Source organism: Homo sapiens, chromosome 4, assembly GCF_000001405.40.
Source record: "Homo sapiens chromosome 4, GRCh38.p14 Primary Assembly".
Classification (NCBI taxonomy): domain Eukaryota; kingdom Metazoa; phylum Chordata; class Mammalia; order Primates; family Hominidae; genus Homo; species Homo sapiens.
The window spans coordinates 85,778,798-85,803,409 of NC_000004.12; the positions used below are offsets into that span (position 1 = coordinate 85,778,798).

The window sequence follows — 24,612 nt, forward strand, 5'->3', positions numbered from 1 at the left end:
ATAGCTACCACCGCTTTGAAAGGAATGGTTTGTGTCCAAACAGCATTTTCCAGACAAGCTCTGTACTTTTTTGCCAAAAGAATTAACTTTAAACTGAAGGCAGTGGACAGTTAAACAAGAGTCGGCACTGGGAACAGCTGTGCGTAGACCAGACCAGTGACTTATAAGGTACTGTTTTTACTCATTTAAATCTTCAGGGTTCATTTGTTTTGGGGACAAGTATTTAGTGGTCATTTGACCTTTTTTTCCTCCCTCTTCACCTCTATTTTGAGAGAAAATATACCCTTGAAAATATTTTAGCTTTTTAACTGTATTATTTTCTGGCTGTTGATATTTGAAACTACTCGGATTTTGCTTTGTTTTGTTAGTGTTTTTAGGAACCAGATGATTGTTGCTGTTGTTTTATTTTAAAGCTTAGTTTAGGTTTGTTTCTTTGTTGTATCTTGTCATGTGTGGTTTTTGTGTTTTATTGCTTGTGTTGGATAAAGATAAATATACTTTAGCATTACAAAATGTACAGAATGTTCTTGACTGGGCAGGAGGGGGAGCTTAATGAATCTTCAACTTGAAATATAGAACTAATATGGAGCCAATCAGACAAGAGAACCTGGGCAGGGCAGTCTAGGCACTTTAACTGATTCAGTCAAGGCTCACTAAACTCATCACAGCTTGGTAGATCTGACCTGGGAAACACAGTTATTTTGAATTGGGGTTTTTGCCTCCAGTTTGCTTCTATATTTAGCTGTTAATTTTAATCCTTCCTTCTCTTTATTCATTATTTTTTAAAAAAATTCTAATAAGCCTACTTTTCTTTTTTTAATGAAGCTTATCTTAGTGTAAGCTCATTCACCTTAATGGAGGAACATTTCTAAGAAGAGTGAAATTTTCAAAAAGATTTCAAGTCACCGATCCATAGAGGGTCTTCCAGAGCAGAAGGGGAATAGCCCAATGCGGCACAGAAAAAAATCCCTGTGTACCCTAGCATTCCAGGTGTCACTCTTTCCCCGAGGCCCTGGCTAGCTGGTATATAATATTTGCTGCTGGCCAATAAAACAACAATGGAGAACATTAAGGGTTTCAATATATGTGAATTTTCCATAAAGTGAAGTTTAAAAAGTAAACTTTTACCACTGAAAACTTGAAAAGCTTTTCAAAGAATTTAGCCACTTGTGGATCATTCTCTTCATGAGATCCACTATATGTTTTGAGCTCTCTCTGGAGGGGACTAAATGCAATTTAATGTTCCCTTAATTTCTCAGTATTACTCATGGATACATATTATAGAATTTTTCTATAATGCAGTAATACATTGCATGGTATATAAGGCTATTAATTCTTAGATCAAATGGTCACATAATCACTGTTTATTTTTTATTTTTTAGTTTTATTTTTTTGAGATGGAGTCTTGCTCTGTCGCCCAGGCTGGAGTGCAATGGCACGCTCTTGGCTCACTGCAACCTCCACCTCCTGGATTCAAGTGATTCTCCTGCCTCAGCCTCCAGAGTAGCTGGGATTACAGGGGCCTGCCACCATGCCTGGCTAATTTTTGTAATTTTGGTAGAGATGGGGTTTCACCATGTTGGCCACGCTGGTCTTGAACTGCTGACCTCATGATCCACCCACCTCGGCCTCCCAAAGTGCTGGGATTACAAACGTGAGCCACTGCGCCCAGCCTTTTTTTAATTCTTGTATTATTTTTATAGGACTTTTTTTTTCCTCCTGTGTCCACCTTCCATATTGAAGAGTGACTTCTTTACTTACTGGTGTAGACAGTTTGCATATCTCTAATAACTTCCTTCAACCTCAACAACCTCTTCATGATTATTTTGTGCTGGGAGCAAGAACACCAGAAAATGAACAAGTTTATAAAAAATTATGGACGAATAAGAGGCAATAACTTTATCTGAGGGTCCAAGAGATTCTCTTATGAGAAACGTGCATGTGCCAAAGGACATAGACACAGTGACATCTATTTTGGGTGCTCAGGAGACACTTGGCTTGTGTCCAAGTTCTTAGTTGTGTTCTGTAGTAGAGGTTGCCATGGAAGTAGTTCTGGAATAAGTAATGTGTTACTGCATCTTATACAGAAAGTGTGGTTTGTTCTTTTTATAAAGTTACTGGAGGTGTGTGTCAAGGAATCAGTGACTAAACAAATCCCAAGAGGCATACCTAATATTAATCAAGCACTAAGTGTTTTATTTTAGTCCCATTCACAATCACGCTGTTCACATGCATGTCTAGCTGGGAAACAGCATAATAATGCTTTGTAGGAAAGAGAGAAAAGGAAAAAAATATTCATTTTCTGGTTTATTCAATTCTTCTGTGTGGAGATTATGCTTAAGAAAACAATGAATAAGGCAAGATTTATTTTCTCAGTGATTTTTCTGATTTCTTGAATGGCTTTCTAACTTACAAGTTCTTTTAAGCTGAAAAACACTACAAAGCAATTTTATAAACCATGTACAATGAATTAGTAGCACAATATATGACAATATGTGTTTTCTTCTAATATTTTTATATTGTGCATTTTAGAGCAAAACGAATCACTGATTTCTCAAAGATCTTGAAAATGATAGTAGTCACTTTTATTAATCTCACTCTACAAAAGAAAAAAACTGGATATATTACATACATTTATTAAGCTATAAGCTGAGTCCAGGGCAATTCTATGTTTCAACTTTAATTAGATTCCTTGGCTAAATACTTGATCATTTAACTTTATTTGGAATCACATTGTGAAGACTTTTGTATTAGAAGCTCATTTTTCTTTAATTTTTAAAAAAATACAAGTTTCACCTAGTCACTGTAGAAATTTTTCCTAAGTGTTAAAGCATCAGATGGTGTATATGACAAACTTTTCTGTTTGAAACAATGAATTAGAGACTGGCTTTTGTCTGCAATAATGAATTTGGGATATGCATATGTTTGTTAACTTTGTCTAAAACAATTCTCTAGGCCAGGCATGGTGATTCACACCTGTAATCCCAGCACTTTGGGAGGCCAAGGCGGACGAATCACTTGAGGTCAGGAGTTCGAGGGCAGCCTGGCCAACATGGTGAAACCCCATCTCTACTACAAAAAATAAAAAAATTAGCCAGGCACGGTGGCGCATGTCTGTAATCCCAGCTACCCGGGAGGCTGAGGTAGGAGCATCACTGCAACCTGGTAGGCGGAGGTTTCAGTGAGCCGAGATCACACCACTGCACTCCAATATGGGCAACAGAGTGAGATTCTATCTCAAAAAAAAAAAAAAAGAAAAAAAAAAGAAAAAAAAAACAATTGTCTAGAAATTGTGCTTATTTTTGCTTCCTACCTTCAGTTAGGTGGCATGACTTATTTTAAAATGAAATGTTATTCCAATTGAAACACCGCTGTTTTAAACTGAAAATATGCTATGTTAAGTCAATTCAGTAAAGCTTTTCCTCACTTGACTCCTCTTTCATTTTAATCGAAATTTAATTTTCGTGTTCATACCTAAATAGGAAATTCGACATACTAAAGAATATGTATTTTAAATTTAGAACTTTTGTACCATAAGACCTAAATTTAAAATTCCTGAAATGTCAGTGTCATTTTGAATACACGCTTAGGAAGACTTCGATTTAGAAAGATACTTTTCAAACCTGGAAAAGGAAACAACCATTTAAATGAATTAATGCATGTTAGCATTCACTGATAACACCTTATAAGGGTGCTTCTTAGTACAACCTTATGAGAATTCTCCAGAAGCCTCAGAATTCAGCCCCTTATAAACTAGAATTCAGTGAGCAAGATTTATGTTTCCCAAGGAACTGTCAAGCTTAGTGCTTTTGATTGTGTTCAGGGAAGAGAAGATATTGAGATTTCTGAAGTTGTTGAACAGAGAAAGAGATAAATGCTTTGTTCTTTGAAAAATCCACATTTAGTTCATTTTCAATTACAATCTCCCAGGGAAAAAAGATACTCAAACTGACTCAAGTATGTTCCTACATATTGGCCTTTGTTTAACATATTAAATTGGAGCTTCTGGACAGTTGAAGAGGTAATATGAATCCAAGGTTCTTTTTGTATTAATACATCTTAATCATGAAATAAATGTTTGTTGAATGACTATTACTTTCAAACCTTAATTTAAAAAGACATCGACAAATAAAATGATGTTAAAACTGCTATGTTTTATTTCATATTTGATTATTGGAGTATTTGTTACTTAGTATACTGCTGAATCATGCTAAAACATGAACAGTTCATTAAGCAAAGCCATTTAATAAATTCTGAAATTACTGTTAGCAAACAGTAATTTGGAACTGTAAATTGCCAGAAGAAAAAGCATCGGGTATCTACAGTCAATAATAATTCAGAAAGTGGAATTGGAGGACAAGAAGGTCTCAAGTGTTATTCTATAACCCCCCTCCTTTTCTTTTTTGGTTTTGTTTCTTTTGCTGTAGGTATTGTGGAAATTATTTGTTTTATATCAATCAGAACACTTTGAAAAAAAATTTTACTGTTGTGTATTCTTCCATTCTATGGTTATACTGTACATAATAGAACATGGCTCCTATTGTTGGGGACCTACATTGTTTCAGTGACTTCTGCTGTGAATAAAATTAGGATAAGCATTCTTTTACATATGACTTTGCTCATTTGATTATTTCAGAACTGAAATGACTTGGAAATTAGTGAGTCCTGATCACTTTTTTTTTTTTAAGAGTAGGAGAACTAGTCCTGAAATATCACTGATCTAGAACCTTGGCTTCCAAGCTTTCAGTCTAATATCTGTATCTAGCCAGAAGTAATGACTGAGTGACAAATACATAAGGGGGCAGGAAGTGAAAGCATAATTTCCTTCTGTCTGAGTAAGAGGTCAATCATGTACCCCATTCTCTGAAAATCCCCAGGGAGTGGAAGGGTTCTCATACTAAAGAAAACAGTCACGATTCCATGCCAGACTTTATTCTCAAGGAGTGATAAACATATGATAGCTATGGGAACATTTTTAAATAGCTGTCATTTTGTTAATGAGTATTTGCTAAAGCATTTCCTGGGCCACTGGTGTTTATGGAACTTTTAAACAAAATATTTATGAAGATGGAACCGGGACTTGCTTCATAAATTATGTCCTTTTACTTGCACCTTTGCTTTTCCTCACTGCACAACGATGTTCAGGCCTCTTCTACATGAAACAAACAAACAAATCTTCAGCCTTTTCAACCATGTTCTTTTTTCCTGGTGCCAAGAAAAATTTATATTTTTTGTTTCTTCTCCCTTGCCTCCCTCTGAGTTGATTGCCCTTTGCACTTTGGCATTATTTCTACCACAATATTGAAATGACCTCTCAGAGGTTGCTCATGATGGCTGAATTAACAGTTAAATTCAACAGCTTTTTATCTCTGTCTTCACCTTCTGTTCTTTCTGCCATCTATACTGTTTACCCTCATGCTCTTCTTGAAATAGTTCTGTCTTTTGATATTAGAGATCTTGTAGAGATCTAGTGCATAGCCTATGGCTCTGCCCCTCTCCTAGGCTTTTTTTTTTCTTCCCTCTTGTTAGAGGGCTCCTGTTTTCTTCCCACCTTCTTGGTTTCAGTGTCTGTGTTTATTTTGTTTTCTCTCTTAGTCTTTCTTCCTTGGAAAATTTCATATAGGCCTATGGCTTCATCTTAAAGCTCAATGTGGATATCTGATCAGCAAAGCCTCTTCCACCCTTTGTGCGAGTTGTAACAAACGTCCCCTTCCTCCAGATGCACAATGCTCGCATCAGGATCTTCAGCTTGGCAGCAAACTGAGCTGGATTTCAGCCCCTGCTCAGCCTGCACAACCTCAGACAGTTGCCCTGCTGGTCAGGGCCTCCTATTCAATGCTGTCTATGGTATTCCAGTGCTTCAAACTCCATGTCTTTCCCTCAGTCAAACTAGCCTTCCATCTTTCATCTCCTCCATCACTTTTTATACAACCAGGTGCCAATTAGAATTTTAGCAACCATTTCCTTGGCATTTTTCCTTTTTATTTCCATGGCCACATTCTTGCTCAGAATTTAATTCCCTCTTGTTAGCCTACTGTCCCCGCCCCAATCCTTTTCTACTACAGTCTATCCTCTATACATTTGGCAATTTGAAGATGATTATATATCTCTATCTATCTATCTATCTATCTATCTATCTATCTATCTATCTATCTATCTATCTCTCTATCTCTCTATCTGCTTTCCTATCTAGATATAGACACATAAATATAGATAGATATAATTATACCCCCCAACTTTTCAATGAGTCCTTAGCAGATGGACAGAAGCAGAGGCTGTAAAGTTGAATTTCAGAATTTGAGGTCCAGCTTTGGTGCATTCACGTGTGTCATCCTGTGTGTTACTCAGTTTCAGGGTGTCAATAATGAATAACCTATGTCAAAACCTTCTATGTGCCAGCCACAGTGCTCTGAGCATTTCCCATATATTGTTCATTCAGCACTCAAAAGAAAACATTTTGTTCTGTTTGTACTAGACATTATAAAAATGGAATCAAATTTATCTTAAAGAGACTGCTTTATTCTCTGAGTTCAATTTGGGTTTTGAAGAAGTCTACAGTAAAGTTAAATTCAGATAATACCAATGGTCTTGGCCCGATTGCAAGTGGTGGTAAAACAAAGGCAAGTGAGTATTATATTTTATTTTGAGATAAAATCATCTCCTTGTTCTGTTTTTGTTGTTGTTGTTGTTATTTTGTTTTGTTTTGTTTTTTTAAGAAAGAGCAGCAAGAAAAGTAAAACAGATTTTTTTTCTTTTTAACAATTACAAACTACATAACGCAAATAAACACTTTCCTTTGTTCAATGCTTATATGTGGTTTTCTTTATTTATTCTTAGTGTCACAAAACAAGCAACTGGAGTAGCCAGAAACCTATCCCACATTTTTTGACACCAGGCTGCCTCATTTGCCAGAATACTGTCCTTTCTTTCAATTTAAGAATCCATCAGTGCCGTTGTCAAATTTAAGTGGAAATACTTCAAAGTAATGACTAAGGGTCTTCAGACATGTGCCAGGAATATTATTTTGCTATAACTGCTACCCTAGAGTCATAAATTAATTTTCCAGAGTGACACCTCCTTGTCACTTTGGGAAGATAAAGTGACCATCATTTCTTATACCCAGTATGGGTTTTTGGAAGGCTGTTGTTAGTGTTTCTTCTAATGCTTCTCTCAGAGACCACTACTACCTTTTTTTTTTATTTCTGTAAAAGGACTTAGGCTTTTTCTTAACATCTATGGCCTATTTCATTTCCTTAATTAACTAATTACTTATAAATGGAAGTTGCATAAGTCATACAATTGGGAAGTTGGATGGGATCTTAATGATCTCGTAATTAACCCCCACATATTTCTCTAATGACCAAAACTGTCCAAACTAAGTTAAGAACTTATCAATAATCACATAGCAACTCTAGAATGTGTTTCCTCATTAAGAACCTGCAGCCATACTGGCAACTTCTTGGAGTATTAATTCCATTGCAAAGTCTCAAACCTGCAGCAGAAATAAACCTGAGGCTTCTCTTCCTTTCTCTCTTCATCTTTGGCTGTCAGCAGGAATAACATCTTAGAAATCCATCCTCTTTCATTCATAGGAGCTACTTTTTAGTAGGGGAAGCCTTCCACACAATGTTTTCTTGACTTTGAACTTCTGTAGCTCTTGAAATGGGAATTAGTGGCATACATAACAAATAAAATAATAAAATATTTATGAATCGCCCCCAAAGTGCAGCTCCCAATGCTCCACAGTATTCTCTGAAGTAAAGCAAATCTTTGTGTCAGAGATATGCATTTCAAAAAGTATTAACATGATATTGTGGCAGTTTTATAATATGAAGTACTGTATCTCTTATGAACACACACACACAGAGATATTGGGGGAAATTGTTTGGGACAACAAACCCAATTAGAGTAAATGTTGAATGCTTCCCTTCTTCCTTCCCCTCAGGCTTGTCACTAACTCTGCCCACTTTCTCATATACATGGCTGGCTTCAGCATTTCTGTACTTTCTCACCTTTGTATGGTTTGCCACATGCAGGTGGTTTTTCAGCCCAGAGAAGTTTTCCCAGTTCTTGTTTTTCTGGAATCATTACTTCTGAATCACTTTACTTCATCCCTCCTCTTTCAAAACTTTGCTGTGACTTTCAGCACTTCACATTTTGACTTCTTACTAACCAGTCCATTCAAGCTCAGCTGGACTGTAAGCTCTTTGAGGGCAGGGGCTTTGTCTTACATATTTGTCTGAGCACAGTGTTTCACCCACAAATCCCAAATTTTGGGGTCCAGTATTGCTCTGGTCTTGTTACAAATGTGGACATATCCTCTGTGAGAATGTGCTGACAGATTGCCCGGCCTGTCGCAGTGGACATTTAATTAAGTGACTGGAAAGTTAAAAGACACTAACAAGAGGATATGAGCTTGCTTTTCTTCCCTTTTGGTAAAATATTCCAGGCCTTTGCTCTCCATATATTTCATTTCTTATTTGCTCAGATTTCATAATAAAGCAGATGACCATTCAGGTGACTCATTCAACTTTGTTTATCTTAGATTCTTCACCATTTGTTGGAGTTTCAGCAGTTGTGCTTCACATGATGGGGACTTAGACTCAATGCTGACATTTGAGAGATATTTTGAGATGTTAGCTCGTGGTCTACCTCCTTGCATTTGGCTTTGCTCCAATCCCATTTATTTTGTGACAAATATTGCCTAAGAAAAGGGATAATTCAAAAAAAAGTGTTTTGGATTTTTTGTTTGTAACAGCTTTTGAGTTTCAAAAAAATCTAACTCCATAAGGACTCAGGGTTCAAATTTTAAATTATAATGACAACAACAAAATAAAACAGATTTCTTTACCCTACCACTAAGAGCAAATAATGCAGATATTAATAATTTTCATGGTAATGGAGCCAAAGGCAGAATCAGAGGAGATACAAAGAGACATCAGGTTCTTGAGGGGTGGCAGGATCCTAAGTGCTCCAAGTTCTGCCACACCATGCTGGGTACTCCCTGAGCTGAGTACATGGGGGACAGAACTGAAAACCCAGATCACACTGGGAAAATCTAAGAGCAAAGGAACCTGTAGATCACTTCCCATGTAAAGTGCATGAAGGCTGCAAAACTTGAATCACTTTTTAGTGCCCTGCATAGTGCCAGGTCATTAGAAATGGGTGTCTAAGAAGATGTGTCCAAAACAGCCTCCCAGGTTAACCCCATGCCCTAAATGCAGCCAAGAAAGGAAGAGAAGGAGTGGTGAGAGAGACAAATCCAGAGAAGCCCAAACGTAGCCACAGGGTCTGTGGACTTAAGCCTAGGAACACACAGGGATGAGGAAGCCAGTATATCAGAGATGCCTATGTGCGCAGGAGATGATGACCACAGACCAGATTCCCCCTCATCCCCACCCAGGACATGTAACTCTCTCTGTTCCTGACATCAGATGATATAAAGAAAGTAAGTTAATCAAAATTAAGTTTCAGCCACCTGGCAATATAAAAAAATAAGGAAGTTATGTCTTATACACCTGGTTTTATAGACTAACATCTATTCCTTCTACACAAATTATATTTTAAACTTAAACCAATCATTTTTAGCTATCTATTTTGCTATTAAAAATTTTGGTTGGTAATAATGGTTTATAATCTTATCGAAAGTGTAAAGTATACTTTATTTTTTTGAAGCTGGAGGGATTTCAAAGCTTGAAATACGAAGTGTAGGATTTGACCTGGTTAGGTCTTGACCATAGAGGTGAGAGGATTAGGGAATAATAAAGTAATCTTACAGGAGAATCTCCACTTTAGACGGTTTAATAGAGCTTCAGATTTTAGTTTATATTTCATACAAATTCTGGTCTCTAAGGATCACAAACATTTATTATCTTTCCACTCCTTACCAGTGTTATCTTAAGTGACACAAAGCAAATGCAGAAATTTTCATAAATCACTCAAAAGGATTGTTGCTTGGCTGAAAGTGCCTTATAAACTGAGCCCATACTGGTAATGAGTGATCTTTTCCCAAGTTCTTAAAGTACAGCTAAGATTCCCAGAAAGTAACACCCGTTCTAAGATATGGGCTCCATTGAGATCAAGGACAGAAAGGAAAATTACTTCTGTTTTCTCGAGGATGTGGCATAATAAGAAATACATATTTGGCCTTTGTTCCTTTCTCCTGGGACACAGCTTTCAAAATCCATGGAATCTCTAGAGTGATGAGAGTGTCTTTTGTATGCTAATGAGATGACTTGTGGCTGGAGCCCCTAGATAGCTCCAGCATAGGGTCTGGTCTCCAGAAAGGCCAAGGCACAATTAGAATGTTGGAACTTTCAGTCCCAGCACTCAACCTCCAGAGGCAGGAGAGGGGCTGAAGTCTGAGTTAATTACCCTTGGTCAATAATTTACTTAATCATGCCTATGTAATGGAACCTCCATTAAAAAAAAAAAAAAAAAAGATGGGATTTTGGAGAGCACCTGTGTTGGTGAACACATCAAGATTCAAAGAGATGCATGCCCATAAATGGCATAGAAACTCTACAGAGAATCAAAGAAAAGGCAATACTAAACAGATCAGGCAGACTTTTTCTTTTTCTTTTTTTTTAAAGAGAGAATCAGTCCGCAGGTTGGCTGGAGTTCAGGGATAAAACTCTTCTTAAGAGTGAAATGGCAAGAAAGATTCAGGCTCATCGAGCACTGGGAATTAGATAGGAACAGAGACACCAAAAAAGCAAAAACTCAACTTATAATAGAACCAACATCTGATGCTACAGAGTATGAAGAAAAACTGAGTTGGCAGTGAGAGCCAAGTGGTAGTACAGAAAAGCGTATTATATTGCAAACCTATAGAGAATGTCAGGTATTCTTCAGGGCTACCCTGTTCTGGACTTTTGACATTCGTGGTAAACTGCCAGAAGGTCTTAGGGGAATGGAGAAGTTGATGCCAACCGTTCCAGTGCATTCACTGTAGAAACTATTGCTGGAGATTATGATTGCCTTCTCCTCGAGAGACAATGCTAAGGATATACTAGAATCTTCTTGAGAAGTCCTACTCAACCATCAGTATGATATTTTGTCTTCTAAGACTATTGGATTTTTGTATCTCCTTGCTTTAAGATCTAAGTAAGAATGTTTCATTAGTCATTGCTTACGTTTCTGGACTGTCTTCCAATGCCCTGACTTTACATATCCTTTCCTCTTTTCTTCTCTCAATAAAGCTGTGTACATTACAATTTTTTTTATTAGGTGCAGAAATCACTTGAAGAACTTAAAATGCAAATTTCTAGGCCCTATGCCCAAAGTATCTGATTCAACTAATCTGATATGGGGCCCCAGAATATGCATTTTAACAAAAACTCCAGGTGATTATGGCACAGGTGGTCCATGGACCACACTTTGGAAAGCACTGCTTTAAGTCATCTAAATGCCTTGGGAAGTTGACAATTTACTAGCTGTATTATACCTCTCGGACTGTCTCTTGCATCCCATGTAGCACACAAATCATTCTTTTTCACACCATATCTTGATTTGAAGCTCTGAAAATGGTTCCAATAACTGTATCTTGCACCAAAACATTGAGAATTTTAGGTTCCAATTTATAATTCAAGATACAATCAATCTTGAAAACAATCATTTGTCTGTCTTTAGTTTTATTGTCTCTAAGATTTTAAGGGAAACTTATTTTTATTGAAATTTACACTCATTCTGAGATATGAAAATGGTTTCAATTTATACCTGAAATACAAGATTATATCCTTTTGCTCTTCCCAGAGTAAAAAATCTCTCCTTCACATTTATTAGAGAACTGTTCTTTCAACCACAAGCATAAAGACAGACTCTTGGTAGGAGTTAAAAAGGACTATTTGGGATATTTACAGTGTCTCTTTAGAACTGGAAGCTGGACAACAAGTAGTCATCACATATGGGAAAGATTTACATTGCCTGAGTGGGCTCAAGTTTGATGTAGTATAAATGGTATTTTCAAATGCTTAGTTCTCCAGATTTTCCATGGCTACAGTATATGCTCTTGTCTCTACTGAGAAATATGCTAGTCTAGGGAATATTGAATAAGCATTCTTCCAGGCAGTGTAGTCATAGCCTTTTGTTTTCAGCCAAGTTTAGTGTGACTGTTTCACATATGATTTTCCTCTTCATGAACTACATTGGAAAAAATTAAAACCTTGTCTAAAAATAAATATATCAGGCTTTTACCCATTAATCAGTAAACATTTATTGTCACTAAGGTCTGTAAGAACTAAATAGTAGGCTTATGCAGCAGATTGAGAATCCAATGCTAGTCAAAACCTGTTGTGTCCTTCCCCTTTTTAACCAAACAAAGAAATAAAGAATCACAGAAAGGGAAGAACTCCATTAAATGGCGTATGAGGGCAGCTGCCTGAAAAAGTAGGTAGGGTTAGAACTAAATGTCCATATTGTGGGCATCTGCATAGGCCTTTTATATTTTTGTTTTTCAGAATGAACTTATCATCAATGTGTTCAGTGTTATAAATTCTGATACTATAACATATTCAGATTGAGCAAGAAGGCATATTTAACGGCAAAGATAAGAGGTACAAACGTAAAATATTGCTCTCTACTAAGTGATTAAGATTTGAAAAGTGACACCAGGAAAGAAATTGTATGTGTTAAAATACCAAGATAGTTATGAAAGGTATTCACCAAATATTTCCACCTCTCTTCTCTCCAGGCACGAAAGAGAGTTATATCAATTATATCTCTCCCCTCCTTTAAAGTTAGTCATGGCCAGATAACTTGCTTTGACCAATGAAGAATGAGCAGAAGTGATGTGTCCCACTTCCATGTAGAAGATTTAGGTGCAATGATTGGGGTCATCGTGTGCCCTTCCAATGGCTATGGGATCATGGAAGCACATATTGAGGTGCTTGAGTGACTATGATGAGCTAAGGACTCTGCTGACCCACATTGGACTGGTATAAGTCAGAAATAATCTTTGTTGTAGAACTGCTTGTTAGTGCAGCATAATTTAGCCTATCTTGAGTAGTACAAATGCGGACATGGAGGCAAAAAAAATTTCAAATGTTTTGATAGGAAATGGGAATTTCCCAAGTAAAGGTGGAGGTGGTCAGTAGTGTCCAGTTGTGCATTGTGTATCCTTTAATGGAGCTCAAGAGCCAGCCTAATGAAAAGAACTGTGCTTTTTAGTTAAATTATGTGGTCAGGTTTGAGTTACAAGGAAGCAAAAACGATACTGAAAAATTTGTGTTCTTGAAGATGTATAGTAGAGAGCAGAAATATACAACAAAACTGTCAATGATGACATTTGAATATTGATAATGGGAACAAATGGGGTGGCAATTCTAATTTGTCCTAACAATCAGGCTTTTTTTTAAATGAGCTTGAAGCAATTTAGTAATCAATAATACAAATATGGGAAAATATAATGTCATACTCCAATAAAAATCTAAACTTTTGACGGTTTTAAAAACTATATTTCAAATAAAACATGATTGTCAGGATTAAGAGAATTCAGAATATACTGGTCCTGAAGAAACATCCTAAAATCAAGGCCAAGGAAGAAAAATGGAGTATCCCGTGTTACCAATATAAAAGCCAAGCCACACATGTTCTACTCATAGCACAAACTGCTTTAAAGAAACATGGCTCAGTAACAATAAATATTTTCTTTAATCCAGTGAAGTTTCTTGGACTATATTAGAACATGTTACAATTCTGAATTTATTGCAATAGCTCTTAAAATTTTTTTCATTTCTTGCATTTGTCCTCATAGCTTATCTGAACCCTCAAAAAAAAATGTTTCCCTGAAATCCAGCCTATGGACTCTCCTTTTCCTTTCTTAAAAAAACATTTTTCTTACTTCAGGCAATTTCTCTCCTTGATTGTCTCAGCTCTCTCTACACACATTTTCTCAGTTTGGCTTTATTTTCTCAGGAAATATCTGATCACAAAGATCCAGTATAGTTCCTGTTTTAGAAATCTGAGATCATCAAGTTGATTTATTGTAGTACAGTTTGAAGCTCTGTCAGATCTTATTGTAAAGCACCACTGAAGAACATCAACAAATTGCACCCATCAACTAATACTTGGACTTGTTTTAACTCCCTGTCATTATTTAATTAGGCTCAAAAATGTCACTGTATGCAGAGAATCCATTGTTTTTCAGTACTGAAGAAATTCTTGTTGAAATAGGGTAATATTTTTTCTGGCATCATAAATTAAAGACAATAAGATAAATAGAGAGTTGACAGATATAAGAGAAGCAAAGTTAGTTTCCAGTTATATAACACCAATAAATTTTTTAAATGAAATTTTGTGTTAGCAGGAGGTCATAAATGTTAAAGCACACACCATTCACTACCCTCTACCTGTAGAAACATGAAGTAGCATGGAATTTATTGGCTTTAGGTTTGTCTAAATAGTAAGCTTAATGCACATATTTGAGTCTGAAGTAACTCTAAAATGTATATTTCGAAAAACTCCAGTGATAATTCAAACGGCTCATTTACGACAAGCTTTTGTGATAAAGAATCCTTAAAGAAACAAAGTTAAGCATGTCTTTTGCTTCTAGATCTTAAAAGATTTTTTCTTAGAGATGTCTGCTTTGATTTCTGGCCATGGTTTTGAAATAGTGGGGCTGGTAAGTTACTAAGCTCCTAAAACATAGCCTGAAAAAAATGAAAACAGGGCAAGTAGAAATTTCAAACCTTATTTCCCACAGAATATTCAAAGAATAGGATAATCCTGCCTGTTTTAGTTCTATTTATGGCATCTGGCAAACTCTGTCATCACATTATATTTTTAAACATGTCTTAAAAGTTTTAAAATGATGACCCTCATTTTGTGTATACTCTTTTTTTAAAATCTCAGATAAAATATGTGAGGGAATGAGATTAGAGTATTTCCTGTCACAAAAATAGAATGTTCTTATGTGTACATAGAAAAGAAAATATAAGTAGTCCCTAAGTGTGTTTTCCTTCATACTTATCCACTGCTCATGGCACACCACATGTTGCCAAAAACACACACACAAGAAGCAGTGCCTTCTTTTTGATTATTTGTGATTCATTGTAAGCATAATATAAGAAAAGGAAACAGCAAAATTCTGGGGATATAAATAGAACAGTTTTTAAGAGAATTTACTAAGGCATCACCTGAGAAGAAAGTTTTGTGATTTATTTAAGAGTATGAAGCAGTGACTAAGAAGAGTTGTCATACAACTTGCTATTTTCTTTTGGGAACAGTATTTCTCATGCTCAGAGGAAATGGCTTAATCAAACAATCCAAATATATTAATATATCATAGAGAGGGATAAAACTATATATTCTGGAACTCTGAGGGACAAAATTCTTTGTACTATATCTTTATTTTTAACAGAAGGGTCTATTTTCTATTACCATTTCTGCTATTTGTAAGAGTAGTTTCCAACAGCCGAATGGGGGCTGTGTAAAGCCATTATAATGCAGTTTACATCTGTCAAAAGGATATCTGAATTCCATTGAAATACTAAAGTGGTAGAGTGAAACAGAGATGTTATATGCCACTGAAGATTATTTTTCTAAAGTTTTCAGAACACTTTTTGTAATATTATTAAGCCAGTGACATGATCAATGATGTGTACAAAGGGAGAAAGAATACTTCCCAAATATAATTGTATACAATGCTTTTTAAATATCCTTTCATCTTCAAAGTGTTACTGCATATTCTTTTTTATTTTTTTTCGAGACAGAGTCTCACCTTGACCCCCAGGCTGGAGTGCAGTGGCATGATCTTGGCTCACTGCAACCTCCGCTTCCTGGGTTCAAGAAATTCTCCTCCCTCAGCCTCCCGAGTGGCCAGGATTACAGGCATGCGCCACCACACCTGGCTAATGTTTGTATTTTCAGTAGAGACAGGGTTTCGCCATGTTGGCCAGGCTGGTCTTGAACTCCTGACCTCGTGATCTGCCCACCTCTGCCTCCCAAAGTGCTAGGATTACAGGGGAGAGCCACTGCACCCGACCTGCAAATCCTTTTATTTAAACATTAGCTTCAACATATTTTAGACAATTTCAATTATGTGACTTTTGAATGAGTAACACTGAGCCTGCAGCCATGCAGGCACTCTCTTTTCATCTGCACTGGTTGGTGTGACATTGTTCTGCAGCTGATGAAATAAAGGTCCACCCTCTTGTACCTCTTGGGTTATCCCCCTTAAACAACAGCTTGAGAAGTATAATGACTGGGGAAAAGGAATAATGTTTACTCAGCAAAGATCCTTTTCGGAATTCGTAGATAATCTCCAGTGCCAAGGAAGTCCCTCCAGGAAAACAGAGGAATATTACCTCTCACCACCATGCTTCTTCCATTCCATGTTACAGTATTGCCTACTTCAACACTTTCAAAACTGGCATCAGTCTCAGAACTGATGTGTGCATGGATATAGAAATTTATACAAAGTTCATACATAGGAATTAATGTTATTCCTGAGGCAAGAAAATACAGTAATAATCTAATGGCCTTTTCTTCATCATTCTCTCTGTGTTGGCTCTATTTTCTATTCCCTTCCTTTTTCTCCCTCTGGAATGCAATATGGTGTATTGGTTGTAGATTCCAGCATAATAGAGTTGACACCCTGCTTGTTTGGGTTTTTGTCAATGGTTCTTTAAGTTTTAAAATATTATTGATCTGACTTTAGTGGCAAATTCTACCTAGAATATTTTTCTTGTCATTTTAATTATTTGGAAATTTGTAGATAAGTGACAATTATTAAATACTCATATCCAAATTATGGGGGTCCTTCTTGTATTTTGGCAATCAGAATCTGGAACAAGACTCTTTATTTGTATGTTATTTTCTCACTTGGATAGTATCTTTGAGAGACCTTACAGATTTTGTTATTTTGTAATTTTAACATGACCACACAATTTATGTCTCTTCCTCAAATAGGGGAGATATTTTCAGTTAATGTAATATGGTAAAAAAAAAATTAAGCTAAGAGCAAACACAAAATAATAAAAACACAAAGCCAAAACTAAAAGTAACTTGTAGTATTTCTTTGCTTAAGGATACACAGCTTATTGTACTTGTATCTTATTAATATATTAAATCTTCCCTCACTCATTCACACATGCTCAACTTGACTCATTCACACATGTTAATATTGGATAGTCTCTGGATCAATATAGGTGCATTAACTGCTTAATGTTTGATTGCATTGATTCACCATCACAGAGTTCCCAGAATTCCCTGGAAGAAGGGCTGTTCCCTGGATGTGGGAAGGTATGCTGCATGAAACATGTCCCTCATAATATTAGGTTGGTGCAAAAGTTATCACAGTTTTTGCCATTAAAAGTAATAGTAAAAACCGTGATTACTTTTGCACCAACCTATACATTCTTGTATCAGAGTTGTGAAATTTACCCACAGTTTAGTTTTATACCTACTACACACACACACACACTCACACACACATATATACAATTTAGAGAAAATTCCAAGTTATCATTATAATATTATTCCTAAGTAGCTGAGAAAAAAGTTTGCTAGAATTTGAATTTTTGTTAACAGTGTTTGAATATCAAGTCTATCTTTAAAAAATATGGGGCTTTCTAAAATAATTTTCTCTACATTAGCCTTCCTATTAATTTAATGCATCTCAGTTGTATCAGAACTTTTCTAGTTCTAGTTACAAAAACTCAACTCAAGCCAACATCAGCAAAAAAATGGAATTTATTAGAACATAAAATTGAGAAGTCCAAGGGAAGATCAGCCTTCAGGCATGGCGTATCAATCTGGGTCCAATCAGGAGAGAGAAACCGCATAGTAATTTGAACAGGGACAGTTTAATATAAAGAATGATTAACTATTACAGGGAATTAGAGTATGCAGGGATTGGCTAATAAGTAAAAAGTACTCTAAAGAATATAAGAATAGCAGATCTAAGGAGCAGCCACTACTTCTGTCGGGGGGAATTGAGCACCCAAGGAAAAGCTCATACCCGAGGCTGAGATCCAGAGCTCTCTGGAGACGCTATGGCCTTGACTCACTAGACCTCACGGTGGTGCTGTGCCCATAGAATTTTCTGCCAAGTCCTCCTTCATTTCATGCTTGAAATTAGCCCTCCAGAGTGCCAGAAAAATTCATGTGGAGGTATCTCACTAGAGGACTCTGCTACGAAACTGCTTTGTGAGGAGGGACTGCAGAAGCTGGGCACTGAGGAAGGTGTGTACACTGGAGGGGCTGGGTGCTGGAGAAGCTGCCTGTGCTGCAGGAGCCTGCGGAGCCAGCATACAGGCTCTAGGAAGCAAAATCCCATTTTCTTCTGCAGTGTCTCTCTATCGCCCTCTACTGATGATAGAGTTTAGCATGGTAGCAGCTGGGAAAGGAAAAAAAATTTTTTTTGTTTTTTTTTTTGTTTTTGTTTTTGTTTTTTGAGATGAGTCTTGCTCTGTTGCCCAGGCTGGAGTGCAGTGGCGCAATCTCGGCTCACTGCAAGCTCCGCCTCCCGGGTTCACGCCATTCTCCTGCCTCAGCCTCCCCAGCAGCTGGGACTACAGGCGCCCGCCACCACGCCCAGCTAATTTTTTTGTATTTTTAGTAGAGACAGGATTTCACCGTGTTAGCCAGGATGGTCTCAATCTCCTGACCTTGTGATCCACCCGCCTCGGCCTCCCAAAGTGCTGGGATTACAGGCGTGAGCCACTGCGCCCGGCCGGCAAAGGAAACATTTTTAAAGGGACATATCCATTTTCACAGAGCAGGCAAAAGGATTAATTTATAGCTAAGGTGGACTGATCTAAATATTCAAATGATGTTAGCAGGATTTGCTTTTTCTCCATTTCTCAGCATTGCTTTCTTCTGGGTAGTTTCATTCTAGGCTGGCTGCCTCCATATTATGGTATGAAGAATTCAGCAGAACAAAATTTCTCTTCTTGTCAATTGTCACAAAAATCCCAGAAGTTAGTATGTTGACTCTAATTAGCCTGAATTGTGCCACATGGCATCCCCAAAGCCAGAAGATGTGTTATTATTTTTGACCTCATTAGATATTATGCTTTCCCAACCCTGCCCTCCTCAGAATGCCATTATCAGACTAAAGTAATTATTTCGGAGGGGAAAGGAGGGGGGCAAAACAACCTTGAATAAATAGAGACACAATATCTGAAGAGCAAAACTACAGAATTTACTGCATGCCTTAAATGCCTTATATCCTGTTGGGCTTTATTTTTAAAATCATTTTACAAGGTTCTAGATCATAAAAGGAAATTAAAGTCATCCAGCTTAGTCAAATCCCTTGAGTTTACTACTAAAAAAGGAAATTCAATGTTTGTGGTTTCAAACCTAGAATTTCTGTTAAAACTGAATCAAAAAGTTGCAAGATATAACTTCTTTTTTAATGATGAGGGGCCCCATCTACTTAACTAAACATATTCCCCGAGCAATAGTGGTATGCCTGTGTCATCTGATATAACTCAACAATTTGGATGGAACCCAAGGCATTATGCTCAGTGAAAAGCATATCTCAAATGGCAACCTACAGAATGATTACATTTCATATAAAATTCTTAGAAATGGCAGAATTATAGTGATGGAGAACTAATCTGTGAGTGCCAAGAGTTGGGACTGGGGAGAGAGTGTGACTATAAAGGAGCAAGAAGGAGCTTTTTGGAGTGATCAGACAGTTGTGTGTCCTGATTACCATAGTGGTTTCACAAATCAATATGTATGACAAAATTCCACAGGACTGTACACCTCCCCACAATGCAAAAAACATGAGTGCATGTAAAAACTTGCAAAACTCCAATAAGGTCTGAGTTTAGTTAATAGTATTGTGCAAGTGTGAATTATGTAATACTGGTTTTGCTCATTTTACTATAGTTTCCAAAGATGTTATCTGTAGGGGAAGCTACCGAAGTTACAGAATAAATTTTTGTACTATTTTTGCAACTTCTAAATGAGGGTAAAATTATTTCAAAATAAAGTTGGCAAAAATGATAGTTAAAAATTGTAGCAAATTGAGGGAGATTTTCTGGTAAGAATCGGGAAACAAAGTTCTTTTTAATTTTTTGATTTTTTCATAGCAAACAAAAAAGTATTAATAATTAGCTTGGATATAGAAGAAATAAAATGGGTGCTTACACTATTCTAAAAATGAAAGATATTTTAATAATATTAGGCTTTAAAAGCAAAGAAAACAATTACAAAAATGCATGCAAATAAAGAGGACAGAAAATTAGAAAATTAGTATGAACCACCCTATGGTACTGAAGTCAGAGATATTAACATGGAATAATTTTTTAAAATATATGCTGAGAATTGTATGTGTGCACATGAATTAGCATAACATGCATATATTTCCTAGCTGTATACACTGAGAGAGGCTGCAAAGTGTGAGGCCCCAGTAACAGTGAGCACACTTAATGTCCAGATTTTGGTTTCTAAACATCATCTTTCAAAAAACAATAACTAGAATGCCTTGGAGAGTTCATTGATTCCAGGGCAGGTGCAGAGAATCTGGGACACCTTGTGTACCAGATTTTAAGGATTTGCTAAGAAAAAAAAACAAAAAACAAAAACAGTGGCATATTGAAAGGGCCCACTAACCAACTTGAAAGAGCTTCTAATGTTCAAAGTGGGAATAATTTGAGCAAGGAAAGAAAGATAGTATCAGATTATAACCCAAGGACTATGATAAAATTACATGAGTCTATACTAATAGAAATAAATTACTGAAAAATTTTAAATGAGGTAGAAGTGAATATTCTTTCTTATAGAAAATTCCAAATCACAAATATCCAAAGAATAAGGAATATAGAAATCACTCTAAAAATAATAATTGCTACAGGAAAATCTATCTATGAATGCTAAAATTGGTGGGCATAATTTGAAGTGGAACCAGTAAATTTGCATAGACTCCAAGTATCTCTTTTCAAATATTTAATAACTATAAAGAGAAAGATGCAGCTTTTAATGCAGAATCCTGGCAGCATCACTTAGCCAAGTGATCAAAGTTAATACTACTGGTAATATACTGATATCACGTGCCTCTTGAGTGACCTACTGAGAGGTCACATCCTCTCTGTGTCATCATTTCTAATAATGTGTAACCTCAATCTGATGATGAGAAAACATCAGACAAACTCAAATTCAGGGGCAGTCTACAAAATCACAGACTAGTCATCTTCAAAAATGTCAAAGTCATAAATGGCAAAGACAGGAATTGTCACAGATTGGAGAAGACTAAAGAGACATAAAAACTAAATGCAGCATGAGATCTTCAATTGGATCCAGGAACATGACAAGTAAAAAGCTGGTGAAAGCAAAGTAATCTCTGTAGTGTAGTTTATAATACTGTACCAAAATTAATTGCTTAATTTGGATAATTGTATCAAGGATATGTGAGATATTAACACAAGATAAAGCTGGGTGAAGAGTATACAGGAACTCTATTATATTACCTTTGCAACTCTTCTCTAAGTCTAAAATTATTTCAAAATTTGTAAAGCTTAAAGAGAAAAATGTTTCCCAGGTTATTGTGACAATGAATCGGGCTTGAGAATCACTGTGCTGATGATTGGTGACTGAGTTTCCTCCAGCTCTTTGCTCTTGTACCAGAGAGTAGAATTGCTCAGATAGAGCAAAGCAGAAAATAGGTCCCAGGCTGAATGAAATAGGGCCCAAATGGTAAAATAGCAAAATCTTAAACCATTGCTGGACATAAGGTAGGAATTAAGAAGAAGAACAGGAGGAGGAAAAGGAGGAAGAAGAGGAGAGAGGGGGAAGGGAAGGAAGAGGAAGAAGAAAAGGGAGAGAAGGAAAGGAGGAAGAGAAAGAAGAAAAAAGAGGAGGAGGAAAATATGCTCAAAGAAACTTCTGAATAAAACTTAATTATTAGAATACAAATCTTATTTCATTAAGCCATATCAAAAGGCTGGAACAATTTCTGCTGCATAGCAACTGAAACAGTCTACATTGAAACAATGCTTATAACCATGTGGCCCTCTGCTAAATGCTGGGAATTTTAAAAATGTTAATGTTTGCCTTATATATTATTCAAGAACATTTTAGCACAAGTAGTTTATTTCCTAGATATTCATAAGATAAATATATGCAGCTTGCATACTATTTTCAGTTGAAAGTTCTCAATAGGAGAAAAAGATCATTCATATTAAGAAATCATTCAAATTAAAGCGTCCTTTTTTAAGTTAAATACATAAAAACACAAAACGTTTTTAGTTAAATACATAAAAACACAAAGCTTGGTACGGCTCTAAGATGAACACAACATATGCCTCAAATGTGAACTATGGATGGTTATGTCTCAGTTATTAATAGTCATTTTAAACTATCTATAGTTTTATATTTTTTATCCTTTTTTTGTTCAAGTATAGCAATTTTAAAGTGCATTAAAAATAACAGTATAATTAGGTGATAAATTTGCTAAACCTATATCCTACTTTTTACTCAGATTCTCCTATTATAATGCCCACCAGATTAGTAGAAGGGTCTGTGCCCTACAAATAGTGCTTTATGTTGTATGATTAGGAAATATTAAATGAAAAATATTGATAACTATATTTCAAGTGTGGTCTAAGTCTAAATTAGGTAAAAGCCTGGGAAAAGTTATCAAGTCTTGCTGTACTTACTTAAATATTATATAACATTTTTCATATACTTGTAATATGATATAAGGCTTCTCTTCCATATGGTTGGTCAGTTGCTCTGCTACAGGAATTTTCTTTCCAAGTAAAAATTGAAATATGTATATTTACAGTGTCATCCCTTGGGCATATGTATAGATGGTGTCTTATGAGATTCCCTAAGTAAAATAGGAGTAACTGAAGTGGATTGCTGAGACTGTTACATTTCTCTGTACTTTAGAAATCATATGAAAATTATATAACTGTTCCCTGTAGATCAAACCATGTGCTTGTGTAGGCAGCAGCTACTTATTCCAACAAAACACGGCTTGTGATCCCCCTTGGGAAGTGAGCCGGCCATCTCAGGCAGGCATTCCTTCCCTGGCAATATGTTAGCCAGACATGGTGAACCCATTATTAATGCATCCATGTATGATAGGTGTATTTACATTATTCAAGCTCAAGAGAATGATGGAGAAGACCACAGCTCTAGCACCATTTTTATTTGGGCTGGATTACTTTCATCAATAAAATGGTATTTCTCCATGAAATTAAGATACATACAAAGCCAAATGACATTTGAAAGATGACTTGGTGAACCTGGACTCTGAAGAATGTGCCGTGTATGTAACAAGTTTTTAATAATTCAACTAAGCTATTTTATAATGAAGTGAATGTCACAGAAGATGGAAATCAATAAAATTCATTAACTAGGGCCCCTTCATGGATAATGTTTGGATAAGAATTAATAGCACTGGCTTCTTGATTTCCCAATATGACCACCAGTTGCTATGTAGCGCTAACCAAACGACTTTACCTCTCATAATCTCGTATCCAACTCCAAAGTTTACTGTGATGATTAAGATAATATTTATATGACCCACCTATATAAAAATTTCTCAATGAAGATAGCACCCTCCATATTCACTGCCTACTTCTGTTTTAATGCCAGAAAGAGTTTTGAGCTATGAAATAACTCATGTCTACCTAACTGTGCTGCACTGAAAGCAGAACACTTGTGACTCAACTGAAGAGTTAGGCTTAAGAGCTGAACTAGCACATGTTCAGAGAAGGAGATAATTTATAATGATGGATAAAGAATAATAATACTTGCTGGATATGGTGGCTCACGCCTGTAATCCTAGCACTTTGGGAGACCAAGGCGGGTGGATCACCCGAGGTCGGGAGTTCCATACCAGCCTAACCAACATGGAGAAACCTCATCTCTTCTAAAAATACAAAATTAGCAGGGTCTGGTAGCACATGCCTGTAATCCCCGCTACTCGGGAGGCTGAGGCAGGAGAATCGCTTGAACCCAGGAGGCGGAGGTTGTGGTGAGCTGAGACCGCACCATTGCACTCCAACCTGGGCAACAAGAGCAAAACTCCGTCTCAAAAACGAACAAACAAACAAAAAACCGAAACTTTAGTTATAAAGGAAAAGAATTGAGACTATCAGATTTAAAGTAGTTAATATCCAGTTTGAAAAATAATTTGTATGGTAAGTCGAGGTAGTTTCAGGCAGCACATTGGAATAAAAAGGATAAAGGGGTTGTGAGCTAGATGGACTTGCTTTGCAATTTCCAACTCTTTAGCACAGCCTGAGGAAGTCATTTAGTATCCATGAATTTCTGTTTTCACATTTGCAAAACAATAATAATTATAAAAATAATTGATGAAGCTAAAAACAAATGATATATTAAGGTATATAAATTGTCTGGCACACAGTAGGAGTTCAACATGTAGTCCTTAACATTATACTTTGTGGTTGTATTCATGTGAACTTCAGAATACCAAAATATTACATTGGGTCTGGCTTTTGTGCCTTACTGAGGCCCATGTGTGAGAACAAAGACAGTCACAGTCACCTCCTATACCAATTGAGGTTTCAGTGTATTACAGTTTTCTGAATCTTAGAAAATACATTGCTGTAGAAGACTGCTTAGTGCTAGTAATATTGTTCTTAACTAAATTAGAGCTTAATTCATTTGCTGTCTAAGATGGATCCCTTC

At 36.3% G+C, this 24,612-nt stretch overlaps 1 protein-coding gene across 6 annotated transcripts in view, besides 1 other annotated feature; it reads left to right on the forward strand.

Moving 5' to 3' along the window:
- Window positions 1-24,612, forward strand: part of ARHGAP24 (Rho GTPase activating protein 24) — a 527,517-nt gene that overhangs the window by 303,648 nt on the left and 199,257 nt on the right. For 2 of the 6 annotated variants that reach the window (NM_001042669.2, NM_001346093.2), the window contains exon 1: window positions 1-168. The exons of 3 other annotated variants lie outside the window; for them this stretch is intronic. The gene's annotated coding sequence lies outside the window, so the exon portion shown is untranslated. One more of the 6 variants, XM_011532300.3, reaches the window with a different exon arrangement.
- Window positions 9,871-10,372: an enhancer, noted in NCBI's record as "NANOG hESC enhancer chr4:86709821-86710322 (GRCh37/hg19 assembly coordinates)". NCBI's record gives its function as "activates a minimal SCP1, AML or CMV promoter by ChIP-STARR-seq in primed H9 embryonic stem cells {active_cell/tissue: H9 hESC(primed)}" and the evidence as "EXISTENCE:reporter gene assay evidence [ECO:0000049][PMID:30033119]".